Raw genomic sequence first — 19,552 nt, forward strand, 5'->3', positions numbered from 1 at the left:
AAGTAACTTTCTCAATGTCACCCAGCAGTAAGCAGTGGAGCATGGGTCAGAGGCATCATGAAAACATCTACTGTGCTACATATTTGTGCAATCAAGGGCAAGACCCAAAAGCTACTGCAAAATATTTATAATTTTACAGCATGGGACTGTACAATGAATGGAAATTTGATTTCTTCAGAAATCATTTAGAGACGGAGGCTTGAAAGGATTGGTCTGGGTATCATTTGGAGAAGGTGCCCTGAGTGTGTCATTACCATACCAGGCAGCATGTCAGTGTCAGCCCCGTAACCTGAAGGTCTTGAGTTTGTACATCAGAGAACACTCCAAACCTATCCCTTTTATACATTCACAAAGGAGAAAGCTGTGTGGCTGGGAAAGACTACTTCCCTGCTCTAGTAGTCCTCAAACAAGTTTCCATGAAAGTTGGAACCCAGAATCTTTTAAAAATGCAGACTCCAGGATTCACACCCAATGAATCTCATGTAGTGCGGCCACAATGGTGCCCTAGGATCTGGGAATTTACTGCCTAGCCTAGGGAACTTTCAGAAACCTTATTAAATCCCTTAGGTAGCAAGACTGTGTGCAATATACCCACTCTTCCCAGCACAGACAGGACGTTTAGAAGAGCGACCTCAGAGTACACGGGAACAGAAGACATGATGAACACAGTGTGAAAGTCACCACAAGGGTAAGACGATGAGTCTTATGAGAAGACCTTGCAACTCCTACTGGCCTTTCTCCCTGAAGGACTCAGTTTATCTCAAATCTCTTATCCTCATGGGTAGTGGATGGAGGGGTGCCAGGAAACGACCTTTTAGATCACAAAAGGGCATAGGCTTTTCTCAGGGACCATTGAACACATTAGATGGGAGGTGATGCAAGCTATTGTCCCCCTCCCACCAGCCTTGGTTTCTTTCTTCGTGTCCCTCCACGGGAACCTAGAGCAATGTCAGGATGTAGGGCCAATGTCCCCTTCACTAACAGACTCCACACCCTCACCTGAGGAGTTCGTCTCCCCTCTCCTCCCTTAAGCTGTCCTTCTCCTGATCTCGTCTGTGATCCCACAGCAGACAGCTGTCCCTGGCAGCCCGACAACCTAGCCTGGCCCCTTCCTCCTGTGTCCCAGCCTAGAGAGGGCTGTCCTCACCAAGGAGAAGGACATCTGTCCCAGGATCCCAGAGCCATGACTACCACAGAACCATCCTGAGCATCAGTGTCCCATGGCAGTGGTTGACCTATGAAATGAAGCTTCACCACACACCCCAGATGGCTCTGAAATACTTTCTTTTCTTTTTGTCTTATTTCAGACAGGGTCTCATTGTTGCTCAGCCTGGAGTGCAGTGGGGAAATCATGGCTCACCGTAGCCTTCACCACCCAGGCTCAAGCCATCCTCCCATCTCAGCCTCCCACGTAGCTGGGACTACATGCACACTCCACCACATCTGGGGTTGTTTTTTTGTTTGTTTGTTTGTTTGTTTGTTTTTGTAAAGACGAGGTATCCCTATGTTCCGCAGGCTGATCGCAAACTCCTGGGCTCAAGCAATACTTGTGCCTCGACGTCCCAACATGCTGGGATTAGAGGGCTGAGCCACCTCGCTTGGTCCTGAAAAACTTTCCTATCACAGAAAGCAAGACAGAGGAGGAAGGTGCCTTAACCCCTCCTAGGAAACGTGTCCTTTTCCACACTAGAGAGCTATTTCCTCTGTACTGACCACAACATTCCTATTCTTTTTATGTAAATAAGAAGACTGAGGGTAATTTCAATCCTAAACTTGTAATTTATAGCAAGAAAATCATTGCACATTTTGGGACATTTAGGACATTCTGAGGGCAGCTTTGGTTGCTGGAGTGATTGGCAGGGGCTACTGGCATTTGGGGACTGAGGGTTACAGGGAAGGCAATTGACTTTTTCTAGAGTCTTAAATAAACTGGATTTTCCATACATGTCACTCCTTGTAAACTGAGAGATGCTTGTAATGTTGCTTCATCTGAGAACTTACAAAGACTTATTGACTGCTTTGGCAATCACATCACTACAGAGCATTCCATTCTTGGATTGCACTCTGACACAACATACCAGTATCAATTTGCTTTGTAACTCCGCATGCCCCAGGGGAAACAATGAGGGGAATCCAACTTACCTACCAAAGGGATAATTTCCATGATAAGCTGTTAGTTGATGCGGAAAATCAAGTGGGAGATGTTGGTAGTGTGATCTCTCATTAGTTGGTGAACACACCGGCTATGCCCGTTGCTGTTACTGCACTGAAGTTCTCTTTGCAGGTGTATTTCCCTCACCAGGCTCTGTGGTCTCTCCTGGAAAGCTGGAAACATACCCAGTAGATCTCTGTGTCCTCAGGATGGGACAGAGGACCTCACAGACAGAAGGAGGGCAGGGAACACTTGTGGAATGGTAGTGATCTCTACATGGTTGGATGACCAAACCCTGAGTCACAGTGATGAGCCACATGGATGGCAGTCTGCAGAGGGTGGGAGGGGAATGCCACAGGCCTCTGCCTTAGGAGCCATGCAGCTGCAGCAGAGTGAGACCAACCTGCAGTACTGATCTCAGTTATGCCCTTTAAGGGTCCCAGATGTATGCAGCCTATTGGTTAAGGTTCCTCTGTGTGTGTGTGTGTGTGTGTGTGTGTGTGTGTGTGTGCACGCAGAGAGAGACAGAGAGAAATTGATTTTGAGGAAGTGGATCATGCAAATGTGGGGGCTGGAAGTACAAACCTTGCAGAGCAGGATGTCAGGCTGGAGTCCCATGGCAGAGGTGATGTGATCTCTCAAATTTAAGGGCAGCGTAGAGGCAGAATTTCTTCATCTTGAGGAGAACTTCAGTCTTCTTCTCTGAAAGCCTTCAAGTGACCGGATGAGGCCCACCCACATTGTGGAGGGCAATTAAGTTTACCCAGTGTCTGTTTATTTAACTGTTAGTCTCAGCTGAAAAACACCCTCAGAGAGACACCTACCCTGGACAAAGTGAACAATTTTGTCTCGATCGTGACTGAGCCAAGTTGACACACCAGATTTCCCATCATAGCCATCTTATACAAATCCTATTAATTATGAAGGTCTATCTGACAAAGGCAGGTGACTTCCTAACTAAGATTCTGTATTAACCTTTTTTGTCCAGCCCAAGCCTCCATTTCAGGCTTGGTATGATACTGGCCAGGAAACTGAGGCTGATGTAAATGCCTTCCAGGGCTCAGGCAGGGTCAGGATAGTCAGGGCGCACATGCAAGTACAATCCCAGAGGGCACAAGTGATACCCGTGGACTCTAAGAGTTTATACCCTTGTTAGGGTACCCCCAGCAGGACATACATTAGTTAGGCAGGAGCTGGCCAAGGCTCCCAATGTGGCCTCCCACTGCGTGACCTTTCCCTCTGGGGTTCTTATCCAGTCCAAACAATTCATTTGCATCTTTGGCTTAAGGGAACTGTCAGAAGGCAGTCAGTTCACGGTAGTCATTGACACCAGTTCCTCCAATTCAAAAGCATGGATACATCCCCAGGTGTTGTGCCTGGGATGTTCAGGAGCTGGGTCGCCCCTGCTGTTCCATAGTCGCAGCTGTGTCAGGTGTGATCTTGGGTTCAGTATTCGGTGTAGTTTCAACCTTGGCTACAGGATATGACTGTGGGCTCCTCACAAGCAGAGAGACCCACCATCTGTGCTGTCACAGAGTACCTCCAATTCAGTGTCATACTGTAAGACTAGGGACACAGTGCTGACACAATGCTGATCTTGCTTTTGCTGTCTACGCAAGCAATCAACCACTTGGATCCATTTGGGCTCATTTTCTTCTTACCGGCTAAATCTATGGATATGTGACAAGGTAAACTAACAACTATACTGGTGAACCTTGTAGCCCTGTTAGCCACAACAGGGCTGTTTAGGAACTGCTTGAGCAATTGACACACTATTGTACTGAATTGTGTGTAGTGTTGCCTGGCCAGAACATTGACTAATTCCTCCTGGCATCACACGGAGCAAGAAGCACAGTTTTTAGCACATACCACTGACTTAGGATTGGCCTTGTCACCGTTGGGTATTTACAAACAGACTTTAGAATTCATTCCATGTCTGACACAATTAATTAACATATTTATTTAAATCAAATAAGTTTTGGAAGTCAAATGCATTTTTAAAGATAACTTGGTATTTTTACTTGCATTTCAAAAGCAGTTATCACTTACTATAGATGTAGTTGTAAAGGTAAATTGAATGAAAAAAATAAATTTTGAAGAAAAAACAGAAATGTAACTAGTAAACCAAATTTGTCTGCAATGTCATGCCTGCTTCCTATATTATTTCATTTATTCTTCATAGCAAGTATTTAGTGTAAATATTCTAATTTCTACTTTAGAAATGGGGAAACCGTCCCATAGGATATAAGTATCTTGCCCACCATCTCAAGGCCAGCGCGTGAGAGGCGGAATAGAAACCCATGGTTATTTCATGTCATAGCCTATAAAGAGACAGTGTAGCTAGGACCCAAGTCATCTCTCATCAGCAAGTTGCCCTGGTTACTTTCCCCTGTCTTTGACCTAGGCCTTAATTCTTTCATCCCAGCTCTATGGCCTAGGCAAATGGGATCCCCTACACTTAGTCTCACTTTTTATTTGAATCCTGGCTTTTCAGTCCTTTTGGATAAGAAAATACTTTATAATCTCTGTAATAGGGAGAAATAATTGCTGATTATAATCTCCTTCCCCTCCTTAAGCAGTATGGATTCTGAGTAGGGCCTTTGCTGCAGAATTCTCTTTGTGGGTATGAGGATACAAATGGAGCCCAGAGTTGAAATTCCTGTATTATGTTTAGTAAGAGGGATATAAGGCTGGATCCAGGAAGCTTCAGGGGCTTCTGAATGAGATGTGGTGACTGTCAGACTGATGGAGTTTTTATGTAGATGAAAAATGAGGCTTGTATGAAATACTATGCAGCCATAAAAAAGAATGAGATCGTGTCCTTTGCAGGGACATGGATGAAGCTGGAAGCCATCATCCTCAGCAAACTAATACAGGAACAGAGAACATTCTCTCACTCATAAGTGGGAGTTGAATGATGAGAACACATGGACACAGGGAGGGGGAACAACACACACTGGGTGGGGGGGTCGGGGGCAAGGAGAGGGAGAGCATTAGGACAAATACCTAATGCATGCAGAGCTTAAAACCTAGATGACAGGTTGGTAGGTGTAGCAAACCACATGGCACATGTACACCTACATAACAAATCTGCACATTCTGCACATGTATCCCAGAACTTAAAGTAAAATTTAAAAAAAATGATTTAAAGAGGGAAGCACAATTTCTTTTAGAAATGTAGAAGAGGAAGCTTAGCAGTTTAAGTACATTAAAGAAGGCTTCATAGAGAAGGTAACACCTGAGCAGAATAAGGGAGAGTAAATGGGAGTTACTCAAGTAAAAAAAGAGGGGTAAGCACATTCCGGGCAGAGAAGACAATATATATACAGACAGGGAGGAATAAAATAGCATTGTGTGTGGATGAGAAGTATGAGCAGTCCTTGACAATAGAATGTAAAATGAAAGGTGGAAAGCGGTGGTGATTGAAACTAGAAAGATCATAGGAGGATGGGAAAGAGAGGAAATTTTGTATGTCATGTTGAAAAGCTTGGAACATATCATACAGAGATATAAAACCAGTGGTAACTTTTGAGGATGGGGTTCAGGACACACTACCCCAGAATATGGGGCTATTTAGAAAACAGCAGAAGCAGGAAGATAGCTCTCACCTTCCCCCAACCCTTCTCCCCTGAAGCAGGTCATAAAACCCTCATTTGACAGGTGCTGTCTCTATACCCAGAGGAAATGGACATCTGTATGTCTCCAAAAACACAAGATCACTGACAGCAATCTGAACAAACAGGCATAACTGAGTTCTCCCCAATTAACTACCATTAGATCATGCGTTTTTATCCAACATACTTTTCCATCACTATCCACTTCTCCATCAAACCTAGAATAAATATACACAAGTTTTCCTGTTTCTTTGTGTTTTCCTTTCCCTATGTAAAACTTATATTAAATAAATGTGTGTGCTTTTCTAAAAAAAAAATGAGGTTTGGTGCTTCTCCCTCCCTGGCTCTTAATAACTTTTAAAGAAAGGTCAAATGTGTTTGCAGGAGATGTTGTGGCATTTTCCATAGGGATTGAGGCATCAGTTCTTCTCTCCGTGTTCCCACAAACTATTCCAAATGACTTTAGTATTCCAGTTATATTGTTCTGTAGCACAGTAAAATAGGTATGTTATCATTACTTTTTTAAATGTTTTTGTACCAATGGTTTCATCTCGGAACGCCTGTTAGCTCTATGTGCCATATTTTGGGAAACCCCTCCTTCAAGAAAAGAATAAAGCCTTTTATCTTGAACTATGAAAAAATATATATTTTATATATTACCACAGATTTATATGAAAAATGAGATTACCACTGAAGTCAATATATACAACACCAGTTCTACATTCAATGCTGTCAGAAGCATTTGCTTCGAGAAAATGCAGACTGTGAACTTAGAACTTGAATCCCCATATCTGCTTCTTACTAGAGTCATTTATTGCAAAGTTTACGAAAACTCTGACTCACCTTTTTAAAGGATTAAATGAGGTCAGAAACAATGAAACATAGCTCAGAGAAGTGGCTAATGGATAACACATACTCTTTAAATGTGAGTTATTATTATTCCTGTTTTTCTTAACTCAATAAATGGAGCTATTGTCCTAACTATAAACACCTTTGGTTAGTCAACCCATTCACAACCACATACCACAGATCAAAATCATGTAGGCAGGCCCGGCATGGTGGCTCTCACCTGTTATCCCAGGACGTTTGGAGGCCAAGGAGGGAGGATCACTTGAGCCCAGGAGTTCAAGATCAGCCTGGGCAACATAGCAAGAACCCATCTCTTAAAAAACTTATGTAAGCACATTAATAGAATGGCAACTTTTAACTTTCTGTGTACAGGGGTTAATATCAGTACAAAAAAAAAGGAGCAGGTAGTTTTCAGAGTGACAGCATCATTAGAGGGATCATTGGAGGAAAGACGGCCACCTTATAAAGTTCAAAGGCATAGGAACCTAAAGCTGCCCCTTCTGTCTTTCTTTTAAGTAAGGTCCAAAGGTAAAAAGGAGATTCAATCTAGAAACAAAAGAACATGACAAAGCCTATCCCTAAGTTATTCAGTCTTGCAGAGATTTCAGTTCTAGAGAATAGAAAGAGGACTTATACCCAGGAGGCGGATCTTGCAGTGAGCCGAGATTGCACCACTGCATTCCAGCCTGGGCGACAGAGCTAGACTCCGTCTCAAAAAAAAAAAAAAAAAAGAAAGAAAGAAAGAAAGAAAGAGGACTTATATCCCAATTCATTTCATGAAGCTAGTGTAACCTAGATACCAAAGGCCAACAAAGAGAATACAGATGGCCCCAACTTATGATGCTTCCACTTAAAATTATTTGGCTTTATGATGGCAGATAAAAGAAATGTGTTCAGTGGAAACAGTACTTCGAATAGCCATATAACCATTATATTTTTCACTTCCAGGACAGTATTCAATAAATTACATGAGATATTCCAAGTTATGATAAAATAGACTTTGTGTTAGATGATTTTGCACAACCGTAGGCTAATGTAACCATGCTGGGCACGTTTAAGGGAGCCTAAGCTAAGCTATGATGTTTGCTAAGTTAGGTGTACTGAATGCATTTTCAACTTACAAAATTTTCAATATATGATCGATTTATTAGGACATAATTCTATGATAACTTGAGGAGCATCTCTACATAAAATAAAAATATAGGCTAATGTCGCTTCTGAGAACACACATACAAATCCTAAACAAATTAGTAATACATAGATTATTCAAAAAGGATAATGTGTCATGACCAAATGTTTCCCCCTAGGAATGCAACGTTGGTTTAAACATAGCAACTTACCAATGTAATTCACAATGTTAACAGATTAATAAAGGAAAAAGTCCTGTAATCATCTACGTGGATGCATTACAAGTGCTTCATGAAAGTCAATATATATTCAAGATAAATAGTCTTAACAAATGGAAAATAGAATGGAACTTCCTATTCTAATAAAATAGATCTATTTTAAAAAGCACAGCAAACTTAAGATATTTATCAAAAAATTCCCATTCTTATACACCAATAACAGACAAACAGAGAGCCAAATCATGAGTGAACTCCCATTCACAATTGCTTTGAAGAGAATAAAATACCTAGGAATCCAACTTACAAGGGACATGAAGGACCTCTTCAAGGAGAACTACAAACCACTGCTCAATGAAATAAAAGAGGATACAAACAAATGGAAGAACACTCCACACTCATGGGTAGGAACAATCAATATTGTGAAAATGGCCATACTGCCCAAGGTAATTTATAGATTCAATGCCATCCCCATCAAGCTACCAATGACTTTCTTCACAGAATTGGAAAAAACTACTTTAAAGTTCATATGGAACCAAAAAAGAGCCCACATCGCCAAGTCAATCCTAAGCCAAAAGAACAAAGCTAGAGACATCAAGCTACCTGACTTCAAACTATACTACAAGGATACAGTAACCAAAACAGCATGGTACTGGTACCAAAACAGAGCTATAGATCAAGGGAACAGAACAGAGCCCTCAGAAATAATGCCGCATATCTATAACCATCTGATCTTTGACAAACCTGACAAAAACAAGCAATGGGGAAAGGATTCCCTATTTAATAAATGGTGCTTGGAAAACTGGCTAGCCATATGCAGAAAGCTGAAACTGGAACCCTTCCTTCCACCTTATACAAAAATTAATTCAAGCTGGATTAAAGACTTAAATGTTAGACCTGAAAACATAAAAACTCTGGAAGAAAACCTAGGCAATACCATTCAGGACATAGGCATGGGCAAGGACTTCATGTCTAAAACACTAAAAGCAATGGCAACAAAAGCCAAAATTGACAAATGGGATCTAATTAAACTCAAGAGCTTCTGCACAGCAAAAGAAACTACCATCAGAGTGAACAGGCAGCCTACAGAATGGGAGAAAATTTTTGCAATCTACTCATCTGACAAAGGGCTAATATCCAGAATCTACAATGAACTCCATCAAATTTACAAGAAAAAAACAACCCCATCAAAAAGTGGGCAAAGGATATGAACAGACACTTCTCAAAAGAAGACACTTAGGCAGCCAAAAGACACATGAAAAAATGCTCATCATCACTGGCCATCAGAGAAATGCAAATCAAAACCACAATGAGATACCATCTCACACCAGTTAGAATGGCGATCATTAAAAAGTCAGGAAACAACAGGTGCTGGAGAGGATGTGGAGAAATAGGAACACTTTTACACTGTTGGTGGGACTGGAAACTAGTTCAACCATTGTGGAAGTGAGTGTGGTGATTCCTCAGGGATCTAGAACTAGAAATACCATTTGACTCAGCCATCCCATTACTGGGTATATACCCAAAGGATTATAAATCATGCTGCTATAAAGACACATGCACATGTATGTTTCTTGCGGCACTATTCACAATAGCAAAGACTTGGAACCAACCCAAATTTTGAGAAGTGTCTGTTCATATCCTTTGCCCACCAACCAATCCAACAATAATAGCCTGGATTAAGAAAATGTGGCACATATACACCATGGAATACTATGCAGCCATAAAAAATGATGAGCTCACGTCCTTTGTAGGGACATGGATGAAATTAGAAATCATCATTCTCAGTAAGCTATCGCAAGGACAAAATACCAAACACTGCATGTTCTCACTCATAGATGGGAATTGAACGATGAGAACACATGGACACAGGAAGGGGAACATCGCACTCTGGGGACTGTTGTGGGGTGGGGGGAGTGGGGAGGGTTAGCATTAGGAGATATACCTAATGCTATATGACAAGTTAATGGGTGCAGCACACCAGCATGGCACATGTATACATATGTAACTTACCTGCACATTGTGCACATGTACCCTAAAACTTAAAGTATAATAATAATAAAAAAAAGAAAATGTGGCACATATACACTATGGAATACTAAGCAGCCATAAAAAATGATGAGTTCATGTCCTTTATAGGGACATGGATGAAGCTGGAAACCATCATTCTCAGCAAACTATCACAAGGACAAAAAACCAAACACCACATGTTGTCACTCATAGGTGGGAATTGAACAGTGAGAACACATGGAAACAGGAAGGGGAACATCACACACCAGGGCCTGTTGTGGGGTGGGGGGAGTGGGGAGGGATAGCATTAGAAGATATACCTAATGTTAAATGACGAGTTAATGGGTGCAGCACACCAACATGGCACATGTGTACATATGTAACTAACCTGCACATTGTGCACATGTACCTTAAAACTTAAAGTATAACAAAAAATATAAAACAAAAAATTTCCAGTGCCTAGTACGCATAAGAGAAGGATGGCCACAATTACTGGTTCTAATCAGCATTGTATTGGGTGAGTCCGTCTGATGTTGTGAAATAGGAAAAAGGAAAAAGTACAGTGTTTGAAATGTCAGAAACAAGCTGTTGTTATTCAAAGACGATATGATTGTGTATGTTGAAAATCCGAAAGGATCTAGAGATAAATTTGGAATGAGGATATTTAGCAAGTTTACTGCATAGAAAAACAATATACAAACATGATACCTGTTGGTTGAATGGAAGAAAAAAGTGTTTTCTCTGTTCTTGCCCTACTACCAGTAACATCAAAGACTTCTGTGACCAAATATGTGGGGGCTTTTCTCAACACACCAAGCAAGCAATCAGTTTTGCAGCATACGCGAGCTGGGTATCCTCCCATTCAACTCCAATAGGATCTACCTGGAGATAGCATCAGATTGCACAGATTGAGGGCTCAGTCCCACAAGAGGACCCTGCCAATTGCTTCAAGCCCTAGGTTGTTTTACTGTGTTTCTGACACACCAGCTATAAATTGAATTTCCCATGACTCCTACTCGAGTTCAATTAATTTACTAAAGCATCTCACGACTCAGTGAAACATATACATTTATGGGTTGATTTAAACAGGATATTAGAAAGGATCCAGTTAAAGAGATGCATAGGGTAAGGAATGAGTTAAGGGGCAGGGAGCATCCATGCCCTCTGTGGAAATGCTATCCTCCATGTGTGCAGCTATCCAGAAGCTCTCTGAACCCTGTCCTTTTCGGTTTTCATGGAGGTTTCCATTATGCAGGTGTGATCGATTAAACCACTGGCTGGCCATTGGTGATCAACTTAACCTTCAACTCTTCTCCCTTCCCTGAAGGTTTGGGGTGGGGCTGAAAGTCCCAGCCCACTAATCCCCCATCCCAAAGCTACCTAGGGGCTGCTAGGCATCAGTCCAACTCATTAGCATACAAAAAGACATCACTTTGTGGAGATTCTAAAAATATTAAGAGTTGTATGCCAGTATACAGGGTAGAGGACCAAATATATATTTATATATTTCATAATATCACAAGTGTGTGTACCAGTGTAATCAGAATAGAAAATTTCAAAAATGATACTTTTCCTTTTCTTTTTTTAAACAGAGTCTCACTCTGTCACCCAGGCTGGAGTTGCAGTGGCCTGAACATAACTACCTACATCCTCGACCTCCTGAGTTCAAGGGATCCTCTCAACATAGCCTCAGGAGTAGCTGGGACTAAGGCTACATATATACATGCATACATTCATGCATTCATGCAGTCATTCATTTATTTTGCAGTGAGGGGGTCTCACTATGTTGCCCAAGCTGGTGTCAGTTTCCTGAGCTCAAGAAATCCTCCTGTCTCCGCATCCCAAAGTGCTGGGATTACAGGCTTGAGCCACCACACCTGGCCACCATTTTCAATAGTACCAAATATTTGGGAATAAAATGAACAAAAAATGTGCAAGACTTCTTTGGAGAAAGCTGCAAAAGTTTATTTCGATATTTTTAAGTCAAATATCTTAGATAAAAACAGTTTTGTGTTGTTTCAGCTTGTCTTCATTTAAACCTGTGGTTGCCTGTCACCTATAATAGAAATATAACAGGAGGGAACATTAGTAGCAGAACTGTATTCAGATGACATTAAAGGTAGGCAAAGGACACCAAAGTTTTGGTTTTATACCGTGGATTAAACCAGAAGCCTAAGAGTAACCTGATGGCTAACATTCAGTTAGACCTCTGTAGAGACTTTGAAGATAGGCTTCCAAGTATATACATTAGCAACATTTTTAAAACATCCTGCCTTCTGTAGTTCAAGGAAACCAAAAACTGTCTAACTTCAGAGCACTTTAAATCAAGTGAACCTATTAAAAGGTGGCTCAAAGTGAAAAGCAAACATTGTGTATTGTTTTAATAAAAATATGACCAACACACAACAAACCTAAGAAACAAAAGGAATTTACAAACAATGTATCATGTAATGCAATGTTTTGCCTTGAAATAATAGTCTGGATGTTCAACAAGCTCCTGGGAAACAATTTATGTCACATTAGGGACTGCAAAAGTGCAGTGAATTGAAAGGTCAGTACTGCATTTGTTTTTTCTCTTTGCACAGAAGTCCAAAAATATTGCTTGGGGCTAGTTCATCCTTCTGTGGTCTTTAAGGTACGGTAACCATTTGTCCAAGATTTTCACCTATCATCCTGATGTCAATATGAAGAGTCCCTCTTTTTACACTTGAAAGTATTCCCATTGGTAAAATAAATTACATGGTCACATTTGGTTTAATCTATCACTATTATTTTTGACATCAAAATGAGAAAGAGGCATATATCATGAATAGTCGGGCAAAAAAAGAAATGGAGGGAGAGGAAAATAGAAAAGGACAGTAAGACATCTGGAAAAGCCAAATAATTGTTTCTAAAAGTTAAGTGTTTTTGAGGGATAAGTGGGAACTTTCAGAAGTTTTCCCACACTCTTTGTGATGCTTAGATGTTCAGGTATTACTGGAATAAATTAACTAATGTATGTGTTCCTAGCATATCAATCATTTCATTCATACTTCGAAAATACTAGAGTTCAAGAATGTATTCACTTTCGATTATACCATATATTCAGTATCTGTTAGGGTCTTGTTCATATTCCATGTTGAGCTTTTTCCATTTTCTTCAAGAGTGTGTAAACTATTACTCTATTCATAGCTATTTTTCAAAAGAACAATCTTTTAAATGTATTACTTTTGGATTACATTTCCTTTTACTAATGACTCATATCTGTCTCTTATTAAGGACCTCTTTCCTTTTCCCTTAGATTTATTCTATTGCTCTTTATAATTTTCATTAATATTTTCCTTTCTCGTGTAATTTTCTATCTATTTTAACAAGATACTCACTTAAGACTATCTTCCTAAGAATACAATTGAGGATTGCTCAATGGGCTCCTGGAAATAATTGAAAACTATCTTTCATGTAAATAGTCTAATGGAATGGTTCAGCAGTATAGAGTAAAACCATTTAGGCAATTTCTTCCATAAATATGGAATGCTTCCTATAAATTCAGAAGCTCTTCTGATTAACAGTCATCAATTTGGAAAATATGTGGAAAAGATACTTTCATGAAGCAAGTTGCCCACTCATTTTCTTAGGAACCATGAAATCTCAACTCAGATATTATAACTGGAGCGAAACTGATTGTTATGAAAAACAAATCATATCTTTGTATTCTATCCAACAGAACATGAGGATACAGAAATCAATTTTGAAACAGATGTTAATACATCTGATATGCATTTACTATTTTCAATAACAGCAAAAGATGGTTGTAGAATTTATGGAATTCATCCAGAATCTCACAAATAATGTTAGAGCTGTTATTAGAATCTGCTTAAGGTGCTCAGGATATTTCACACAAAGTGGTATTACAAATGCATTATGTATTTGTTAAAAGCAGAAATTGAAAAATATCTGAAAATTGTTAGTTGTTGGGTATAATCAGAAGTAAGAATATGCTTTCATATTTGATGATTCAATGTGGGTTTGACCCAATTTGTGTCTGTAGCTGATAGTGTTTAAGTCTTACAGTCAGGCAATTGGGGTCTGAACAACCTTTCAAAAAAAGTCTGCATTTGAACTCTGATTTTAAAGGGATAGTAATGTTCTCTTTTATTATCAAAAGTATAATATTGTGGAAAACAGAAAGCACATAATAATGGATAGCATACCTCCTTCTGGCATTTTAAATTGTTCTGATTTTGGCAGAATCTTCCCCTGGTCATCAGGACCATTTCCACATTCACCCCCAGTCTTTGACTGAGACAGCTCCTGGAGATCAGCTTCCAGGTCAGGCACTAAAAAATACAAAGGTTGTCGATTGAAGCAGGCAAACAAGAAAGATAAAGAAGGAAATGATAATATTCTTTTCCTCAATGTTATGAAATAAAAGGCTGCAGGCGACTGTGGTAATAAATGTGATGCAAAGATGTCCCACCTTTGTTTTCCTGTACTATGAAATCTTATCTTAAATGACAATCTGAGGAAAAATCAGACCACACTTACATTTCCTATACTTTACCATTGTGTACTATAAACAGTGAGTGTCAGCTATCTAGGAAACCTAAAGACTGCCCAATGGATAGCATTTTAATAATAACTTAAATGTAATTTTCTGAAAGATTAGATGAATATATTGGTGAGCCTATGACAAATCTTACAGTCCTGACACTCATCACCTGTTGAGGTAACTTGAAAATTTTTTGGTTAAAATTAAACAAACTTAGGTCCAAAGGCCCTATATGTAACTTTCCATAAATGAATCCCATTCACAAAAAAATACCGAATATAACAGCAAAATCGCTGTCTTCCACAAGAGTACAGAAACTTGAGTGAAAAAAAAATTAATGGGCATTGTTGACAGTCATATTCTGGAAACCCCTTAACAGTGAATTGCTAAAGTAACCCATGACCCAAATTCTGTCAATGTTTAACTTCAAAATGCTCTCTGTTGAGGAAATAATTTCTGTTTCATGATAATCTTATCGTACTTCGAGTTTTCTAATTATAAAAGTATATAAACAACTCTTTAAAAGCCCCTTAAAATCATACTAATATAGCTACCTGTATGCCAATGTCCTGAATTATCCAGATTTTACCAAACATACTTTCAAAAATACAAAGCAAAGGAAAGAGTGGCTGTCATTCATTGAGCTCTTTTCTGGCGTTGCTATCCTGCTTCACTGAACTTTGTTTTGTCCTGAGCCAATACTGAAGTACTTACAGTACAGACACATTTGAGTATTAACATTTCAAGCAAAATCATTCACGTTTTCTAATGTGAATGGTAGGGAGAACACAAACCTTGGAATGAAATATGAATTCCTTCTCCATGACTCAACTGTTCTTGGTAAGCCTCCATTTCAGAGCCTCAGTTTTCTTATTTATAAAATGGGGCTAACATCCTTATGCAAATGGGCTTTATTCAGTGTATTCAGGTAGGGTGACTTGGCATTCTACATGCTATTAAAGGGTGCATACAATACTGTGGACACCTTGGCTGAGAAGATCAGACAACAACATTCTAAGAAGATCAAAGTAAACTAGTGAAATAATGTATATTTTTGTACATCAAATTAAACAGTTTCATCTGATTTAGCAAGGACTGTATTTTCAAGCATACGAAATATATTTCAAAGGTAAGAGAAGATTCATTATATCCATGAAGCTGCAAACTATACTCTTCACTTTTCCAGCCAACTCTCAGCAAATGTTTGAGATCCTTTCCTAATGTTTTCTTTCCTCCTGTTACTGGTCATGGCATAAGGCATGATGCACACATAGGCCTCCTCCCCTCCCCATAGACATTCTTTCTTTCCCTTCCCAGCACCTTGAGTCTCAGCTGCACCCTGATCTTCTTCTCTCTCCTGACCAGGTGCAGGATCCCGACTTTCAGTTGGTGGTTCCTCTTGCTGAGGCTCCTCATCACCGGGCTCCTGGAACCAGGGGTGTGTGTGTGTGTGTGTGTGTGTGCAGATAAAAAGTTTTGTTATCGATACATTTCAATAATACAAATATACAGAATACATAGATATTTCTGATCATAAGTCTAAAGACATTTCTCCAACACGATTCCACATACTTATTTTTCATAAAGTTACTCTTCCCACAGAGAGGTTACTCTAAGACAGTTGCCCTCAAGGGCTTTGGAAGCTGTTTTAATCTAAGCTGGGATGAATGTGTGTAATCTTTTGCAAATAAGCATGAGAAGGAAATCATGGGCAAAATCTGGGGAACACAAGATCATCCATCCAGACAACAGAAGAACTTAATCCTCTTGGACTAGTCTTTCCTTCATGAGATGCCATGATTATTTTTCTCAGCATGGGAGACCTTTATTGGTATATCTATACTGGTTCAACAACAATTACAAAACATAGTTTTGCAACAACAACAAGTTACAAAAATAACTTTCTGCTAATAGAAAACATCAAAGGTTAAGGCACTCACCAGCATAGGCCCAATCAGCTCAGGAGGTGGTACACTTCTCCTCGGCCTAGGCCTATATGTTGATCTTCCTCGCCAAATCATATTTCACACTGCAAACAGAATACTGTGAATTGGTAAATGCACTTGAAAAGACAGCTATATTTGACCACTTCCATGACCAAATATTAACTTGTCATTTTTTAAAAGTTTGTAAATACTTTCGAACTAAGTCTCAGGGCAAGTGTAAGTATGTGTGCCTTCTGAATGCTTGGGAAGCCATTAAGTTGGTCAAGCTAGCTGAGCAATTTCTTAAGGCTCCTGGCAAAAGACAGGATATTTCCGATGAGGTTTGGTTTCACAACTGAACTCTCCTCCGTGGAGACATTTGGGAAAATACAGCCAGAGAATTAAAACTGCAGTGACCACGGCTTTTGTCACACACCCATTTGCTGGGCCCATTTCCCCCCTAAAATCAAGTTTTGTTGGAATGCAGAGCCCCGCCCATTCAAACCTCCACAGTGGAGTTGAGAAGTTGCCACACAGCTCTGGGCCCTCCTCACTGTACACCTCTGCCAGGCGCTTTACAGACCTCAGGGCCACAGTCACCAACCCGCAGCGTTCCCAGTTCCCTTCCTTAATGCCCACCCTGCTCCTTCCCGGGTCGACACGGAGGAGTCTGGAATCCGTCCTCGGTCGAGGGTTCCAGGGACTCGGATACCTGCCCCAGCACCCCCAGCACTCGCCCCATTTTCACCTGACCCCTCTCAACTACGCGGCCCACCTTCTTCCCTCATTCTGACTTCACCACAACAAGGCCCATGGCAGTGCCACCTCACGAGGAGAAGGACGATCACCTTGAGACCCTTCGGCCTCTGAGGCCACGGGCTATGCTTTCCCACGCTCCGGACAGCCACTGGCTCCTCCTCACACGCACTCACACTTCAACCCTTGGGAGGACTGGCCTGCGGACCTACCAGCTGCGTCTCAGTGGGACAGAAAAAGTCCAGACAGCAGGAACGCGACCCTCACACCCTCACAACTCCAGGGCATTCACCACGTGGGAAAAGGGGCCGAGGGGAAGACACCCAGTGGACATGCGCAGTGAGGTCGGTGCCTGCCTAGTGGGCTGTGGCGCCTCTCCTAGCCCCACCCCATGCCGCGCCGCGCAGTTCTCTACCCTCTCCCAGGTTCCCACTGAAGACTTCGGAATGTGTCTTCTGTGGGCGGTTTCATATGCCTCCGGGACTCAAATACCACAAATAGTTTCCCCCTTCAAAACTCACTCCATGTTCACTAGGTCCTCCTCCCCTCTATGGCCCTCCTTCCTCCCCTGTCTGGGACCCCCACGACAGCAAGGCCATGGCTGTGTCACCACCTGTTAGGAGAAGGACAGGAACCTCAAGGACCTCCCCGTCGGAGGCCATAGACCGCGCCGCGGGCTCCTCCTCACAGTCTCTCCCACTTCAACTCTGGGAAGACTGATCTTCGGACTTACTGGCTGACTCCTAGTCAGCAGCACAGAAGGAAGTCATGATGTCTCCTTGCACAGCTCTGCAGGGACAGAAGGCGGACAGCAAGGCACATGGACAAGGGACTTGGGCAGCAAGGGACGTGCACACTGAGTCAGGCACATGCAAGGCCACCCGGGGTTTTCCCTCTCTCCCCAGGCTCGCATCCCTAAGGTGTTTGTAGTAGAAGGAAAGGGACTAAGAGGCTTCGTTCTCTCTCTTGCCCTACCATTCTCATGCATCCAGAAACACTGGGGACAGTCCCATGTCACCATGAGTGGAGGATGTGTCTCAGACCTTTTGTGACAGAAATAAATTATTTTATTATATATATTCATACATACTTCTTTCTCATTTATATATGCATGGGTGTCTGCCATGTTGCAGGAAATATCTGGGATGCTGGAAATGTGAAGACCAAGGAACCACACGTGGTATGTCCCATGGAGGCTACCACACTGTGGTGGGGCAGACAGACAGTTAAACAGAAGAGCAGTTGAACTGCAAAGGAGAAACACGGGGAACGGACCCAGGGGAGTAAAGAACAATGAATGTCGTGGCCAAGAAGCAAGGGAGAAAACAACACAATTTCTCAAGAAGATAATATTTCTCCATTGCCTTTGCACCTTTTTTGAAAATGAGTTTATCATGTCTGTGAACCTATTGCTGGACTCCATTCTGATCTGTTGATTTTTCCCCAGTACCACATTCCCTGGATTACTATAGAATTAACATGACTCTTGAAATTAGGTAGTGTGATTTCCCCAAAGTTATAGTTCAGAATCGTTTTGGTTTTTCTCGTTCATTTTCCTTTCCATATAATTTTGAAAAAATGACTCCAATGAAGTGGGTTGTATAAGTTCATGCAGTTTCGCTTTGAAAGGCAGCAGATAAATGTGTTAGTAGCTATAGGAGGACATGGGGGAAGAAGGGGAGTTCCCCCCTTAGCTTGGAGAATGATCCCATTTAGAGGGAAGAGTTGGTGGTTCAGGAGAGAGGAATGATCATTGCAGGAGCAAAGCTCCTGAAAAGGTGGGAGGCATGGGATCCTGAGCTGAGGTGAGGGGCTGGCTTTAGTTAGGAGCATTGTATGCAGAAGGGCGGCAGAGAATGCCAGGGCAAGCACAGGTAGACTGGGTTTTAGAAGCTCTAAGAGTTCCCAGCAGATCGCTTCTCTCCTCTAAATGAATCATTATGGGAGGTCATTCAAATGGAGGAGAGTTTCTAGCATTGTGTGGGTGTTTATATAACTATAGAGAAAGTTTCTGTCATCTTAGAGAATACATCAATCATCATGAACAGAATATTCCTAGAAATATGAATGTTGAAGGTGAGCTCTCAGACAGGAATGGGGAACACGGTGTTGGAAACATGTGGACACACAATCCCTGTAAGAAAGTAGCAGAGAATTTGGCTAGAATGCATTCTCTTAGATGCAGAGTAGAACTTGTAAGTGATGAAATTGTATATGTAGCTAAGAACATTTCTAAGCAAAGTATTGAAGTTGTGGCCTGGTTTCTCCTCGCTGTTGGTTGCAAAATGTAAGGGAGGAGAAATAAAACAACAACAGAATTGCTGAGCAAAAAGGAATCAGCCCTTGATTATTTAGAAGATTCTCAGCCTAACCAG

At 41.2% G+C, this 19,552-nt stretch overlaps 1 protein-coding gene across 5 annotated transcripts, besides 2 other annotated features; it reads right to left on the bottom strand.

Moving 5' to 3' along the window:
- Positions 2,520-2,589: an enhancer, noted in NCBI's record as "active region_29644". NCBI's record gives its function as "activates an Ori minimal core promoter by ATAC-STARR-seq in GM12878 lymphoblastoid cells {active_cell/tissue: GM12878}" and the evidence as "EXISTENCE:reporter gene assay evidence [ECO:0000049][PMID:35858748]".
- XAGE3 (X antigen family member 3) lies at positions 11,912-17,467 on the bottom strand. 5 transcript variants are annotated; one of them, NM_133179.3, is made up of 5 exons: positions 17,390-17,467; positions 16,437-16,525; positions 15,817-15,922; positions 14,159-14,284; positions 11,912-12,024 (listed from the first exon to the last, which is right to left on the bottom strand). In NM_133179.3, the coding sequence occupies exons 2-5, from the start codon at positions 16,515-16,517 to the stop codon at positions 12,002-12,004; spliced, it is 336 nt and encodes a 111-aa protein (NP_573440.1). In that variant the 5' UTR covers positions 16,518-16,525; positions 17,390-17,467; the 3' UTR covers positions 11,912-12,001. The 5 variants fall into 5 exon arrangements, with proteins under 5 accessions (NP_573440.1, XP_011529070.1, XP_011529071.1 ...); XM_011530768.3 differs by having other exon boundaries at positions 16,437-16,539; XM_011530769.3 differs by having other exon boundaries at positions 17,270-17,467.
- Positions 15,474-16,671: an enhancer, noted in NCBI's record as "MED14-independent group 3 enhancer chrX:52895119-52896318 (GRCh37/hg19 assembly coordinates)". NCBI's record gives its function as "activates an origin of replication core promoter dependent on BRD2, BRD4, P300/CBP and CDK7 cofactors, and independent of MED14, by STARR-seq in HCT116 cells {active_cell/tissue: HCT116}" and the evidence as "EXISTENCE:reporter gene assay evidence [ECO:0000049][PMID:35650434]".
- Positions 17,468-19,552: the final 2,085 nt, after the last annotated feature.

This window comes from Homo sapiens, chromosome X (genome assembly GCF_000001405.40).
Source record: "Homo sapiens chromosome X, GRCh38.p14 Primary Assembly".
Classification (NCBI taxonomy): Eukaryota; Metazoa; Chordata; class Mammalia; order Primates; family Hominidae; genus Homo; species Homo sapiens.